This window comes from Homo sapiens, chromosome 10 (assembly GCF_000001405.40).
Source record: "Homo sapiens chromosome 10, GRCh38.p14 Primary Assembly".
In the NCBI taxonomy this organism is placed as follows: Eukaryota; Metazoa; Chordata; class Mammalia; order Primates; family Hominidae; genus Homo; species Homo sapiens.
Genome location: NC_000010.11, coordinates 81,108,339 through 81,113,074, shown reverse-complemented (window position 1 = coordinate 81,113,074; position 4,736 = coordinate 81,108,339). Strand labels below are relative to the sequence as shown.

General features: G+C 37.4%; 1 annotated feature.

The window, feature by feature from the left end:
- Positions 4,090 to 4,169: an enhancer, noted in NCBI's record as "active region_3672". NCBI's record gives its function as "activates an Ori minimal core promoter by ATAC-STARR-seq in GM12878 lymphoblastoid cells {active_cell/tissue: GM12878}" and the evidence as "EXISTENCE:reporter gene assay evidence [ECO:0000049][PMID:35858748]".

Below are 4,736 nucleotides of genomic sequence, written 5' to 3'. Positions count from 1 at the left end.
CAGGAGATTGAGACCATCCTGGCTAACACGGTGAAACACCGTCTCTACTAAAAATACAAAAAATTAGCCGGGCGTGATGGCGGTCGCCTGTGGTCCCAGCTACCCTGGAGGCTGAGGCAGGAGAATGGCGTGAACCCGGGAGGCGGAGCTTGCAGTGAGCAGAGATCTGGTGCCACTGCACTCTAGACTGGGCGACAGAGTGAGACTCTGTCTCAAAAAGAAAAAAAAAAAGAAAAAGAAAGTCATTGATAACATTGAGCATTGAGCACAGTAAACTTGAATACAGAAATTGAGAACAACAACAAGTGGCAAACTGCGTCTGTGTTTGGGAGGTGACAATGATATTTTTTAAATGTAAGATATATAAGAAAAAGACTTACCAAGGAAACGTTAACCAAAAGAAGGCTGTTGTAGCTCTATCAATAACACCAAAGAATATTTTAAGGCAAATAGAATTAGTCAAGTAAAATGGGATATTTCACAATGAAGAAAAAGTCAATTCAACAAGAAGATACACAATCTTAAATTTACATGCAACTAATAACAAAGTGATCAAAGTATATTAAACAATAGTAGGTGGAACTAAAAGGATAAATGGAAAATTTACATTTGTAGTTGGAGATTTCAAATATTCTCTTTCAATAACAGATAGGTTGTCTAAAAATCAAAGGGCTAATTTTCTAAATAAAAAATATATTTTTCTCAATTAGTTAACATTTCACCGAAATCAAAGTTCCAACTTAGGTATCACATTGGACAAACATAATATTTGCATTGGTCTATCAAGAAAGAAAATGTTTTTAAAAACTCCTTTGTCTCATCATAAAGGGAAAAGTAAAATAAATGAAGCTTTTAACTTAAAACACAGGAAAGAAAAAATGAAAGAGGTGTGAGTGACATCTAGGCTTCTAACTGCACTTCTATAAAAACCAAAGCTCCTTGCTGTGGTCACAGGACTCTTTATTATATAACCTGTTTGTAAGGCTACAGCATTGTCTCAGCCAGTCTCCCACACACCCCAAATGCTCCAGTCTTACTATAGTTTCTTTTCTTTTTTCTTGTTTTTTAAAAATGAATTTGTATTCCCATGCTTAATGTCTCAGTTTGAGTGTCACATCTTCAGAAAGTACTTACTAAACACTTTATCTGAGACTACCCTTTCATTATTTTCATTTTCAAATCCCTATTCATTTCCTTTACAAAATTTGTTATTCATCGTTTTGTAGTCTAATATGGTTTGGCTGTGTCCCCACCCAAATCTCACCTTGAATTGCAGCTCCCACATGTTGTAGGAGAGACCCGGTGGGAGGTAATTGAATCATGAGAACAGTTACCCCCATGCTGCTGTTCTCATGATAGTGAATGAGTTCTCACAAGATCTGATGTTTTTATAAGGGGCTTTTCCCTCTTTTGTTTGGCACTTCTCATTGCTGCTATCATGTGAAGAAGAACGTGTCCGCTTTCCCTTCTGCCATGACTGTAAGTTTCCTGAGGCCTCTCCCCTACCATGCTGAACTTTGAGTCAATTAAACCTCTTTCCTTTATAAATTACCCAGTCTCAGGTATGTCTTTATTAGCAGCATGAGAACAAACTAATACACAGTCCTTTTAAATTCTGTGTCTGCCACATGAATGGAAGTGTGTCTCCATTAGAACACAGACTATGTCTGCCTTGCTAACCATTGTATCCGTAGCGTAGCACTGTGACCAACACAGGAAAAATCATCTATGCGTGTTTGTTGAATGATTGGCCTAGTAATCTCAGACAAATGTAATAAAAATAGACCACAAGTATTAGGACAGAGAATACCATATATACAGATGTAAAATTTTTAAATTACAAATTTGTGAATTTCCGACAATATGATAACATATTTGAAAACCTAGATAACATGAAAGTCTTTTTTTTTTTTTTTTTTTTTTTTTTTTGAGACAGAGTCTTGCTCTGTTGCCCAGGCTGGAGTACAGTGGCGCAATCTCGACTTGCTGCAACTTCCGCCTCCCGGGTTCAAGTGATTTTCCTGCCTTGGCCTCCTGAGTAGCTGGAACTACAGGTGCACACCACCATGCCTGGCTAATTTTTTGTATTTTAGTAGAGACGTGGTTTCACTGTGTTGACCAGGCTGGTCTCGAACTCCTGAGCTCCGGCAATCCACCTGCCTTGGCCTCCCAAAGTGCTAGGATTACAGGCATGAGCCACCACGCCGTCTTATATGAATATATGTTATCATGGTTTCTGCAAACATTATTTTGTATACTCCCTACGTAAAGCCTGTACAGCAGACAGCCTGAGCCCTGTTTTTCACATTAAATAACAGTGCTTAAAGTTTAGCATTGTTTATAACAATAAAAAATTGGAAACAACTTTCAGGGCTCATAAAAGTGTTTGGAAAATTAAATGATGGCCAGTCCATAAAAGGAAAGAAACTAAAGCCATGAAAAATGATGATGCACAGGCGCATTTACTCGAAAACAATAAAAGGTATTCCATCAAATGAAAATAATGTCTTGCAAAACAGCATGTAATAGCATCCCACTGTTTATAAACCATACACAAAGATATATATTTTTTTCTAAGTGAACATGAGAAGGAAGAAGTCTTAAGGGGCACACCAAATGGTATTAACTCTTGAAAGCAGAATTATGGGTGATTTAGCCAGCATCTTTATACATTTCTTTATTGTCTAGTATTATGCTGCTTGTAGTATTCATAATCAGACTAAAATGTTTTCCTTTAAAAATTAATGTACAAATGAATAATATATTTGCTCTGTGTCTCTAAGACCTTACAATTATATTCCAGTCAAAACAATAACATAAAAGTGGAATATTTATTTGATAATTCTCCCTTTGTAATCAATCCCAAGACATTTCTCCACAAACAAAGTTTCAGTTTGGAAGGGATGATTCCTCCTAATGTGGGAATCTAATAAATTGGGAGATCTGGGGGGAAAACATGGATAAATACGGTTCTACTGAGTATGGTAAGCCACCGCCCCTTGAGTTTCCATAGTTTTGAGCTTCTTTCTGCCTCCCTGTTTATGCTGAGCAAAGTAAAGATACCGTAACATTTTCCAAATGGTTCTAGGAAACGTTAATTGTTTCGTAAACATGAAGATGCTACAGGCATAGCAAGTAGATAGGCACTTGCCCCAGTGGCACAACAGAATAGAACCAAAAATATTAGCGACATTTAAATCTAATTACATTTATATTATATTTTCAGTTTCAATTATTTTCTATAGAAGAGACAGCAATTCCAAACTTAGAAAATTACCATCATATTATATTTCAAAAAAACAAATTAAAATCCGAAAATTGCCTTGGAAAGCTAATCGTGTTATTTTTAATGACTATATCAATGAGTCCATGGAACTGGACCAGAATAGCATCATATTTTCACAACAGTGCGTCATCCCCAAAGTATTTTTGAATGGATTATCTTATCTCACAATGACCCATCGATCAAACCTTATAAGTAACTTATTGCATTTGAGAAACAGAACTCGTGCCTTCCTCTTTCTTGCAGAGCTGAAACTAAAATCTGAGTCTTCAGATCCTACTGAAATGATCTTTCCACTAGATTGGACCATCCTGCCTCCGAGGTCATTGAAAAGCCTTTTTACTAAGTACTGCTAAGCAATGAAAATAAATTGAATACATAAGCAAAGTCTTTCTCCAGAAGACCTAGATATAAACAATCCAATTTACATACTTAAGACCTGCAAACAGACGTATGGTCCCCTATATACCATATTTCTTATAATTGGTATTGAACACAAAGGAAGCAGAAGAGCAAGCAAGCTTGACTGATTGCATCAGGTCTCCAAACTAGAGGAGGGCTCCATTATAGGAAAGATAAGGTCTCAGTGTTCTGGTTAGTACTGTTAGCAATTCTACTAATAATATTCTAACTGAATGCATCCCCTGAAATGTGCACTTGAAACTCTGTATATGATTGTCATTCATTAGCTACAACTACCTAGCTGAGTCACATTCTATTGTTTATTGTGCCTACTGTTATCTCAAAGCCTGCAGCTGATGAAGCTAACTATTTAATTAGGGGCCTGCCCAGCCAGGCTGGTGATGAAATAGAAATTATGGTCACCGGGGGTAATGAAGATGAGAAGGAGGTAAATGTTTGCTTTCTGATTGCTCAGCATTCATCTGATAAGGTTTTGTGATATTTTTCTGATCTCCTCTCTTGCCAAAGTCAAATTTAAATCTAGGAGAAAGCTGTGGTGATGGGGAGAGTGAGGACAGCAAAACACACTGAAAGAACACTAAGAGATTATGATGCAGCAGAAAGGAGGTGGCTGGAACTCAGAACTGCCTCCAAGCCTGCTCCAGCCCAGACAGCCCTGAGTCATTGTGAGGCCTGTAAATGAGGAAGTTGTCCTGGTTCTTCAAGAGTGAACATCAGAATCGCCTGTGGCAATTTTCATAACCCTAAATGCTCAAGGCTCACCCTGGGCCCATGGAACAAGGGACATTCAGGTATATTTGACTTTAAACAATTTCATGGATGATTATGACGTACATCCATGGTTCAAAGTTATTGGACTGGATGAATTAACACCCCTTGCAGCTCTCAAAACTCATGAATTTCATATGGACTTTCTTACCACTGCATTTCCAAAAGAGCTTCCTTATACTAGAAGAATGACGGAAAATTCCTTGGCGTTACAAAAGCCAGTTTCTAGTAATTGTTTTTTGTTGTTTTTTTTGAGATGGAG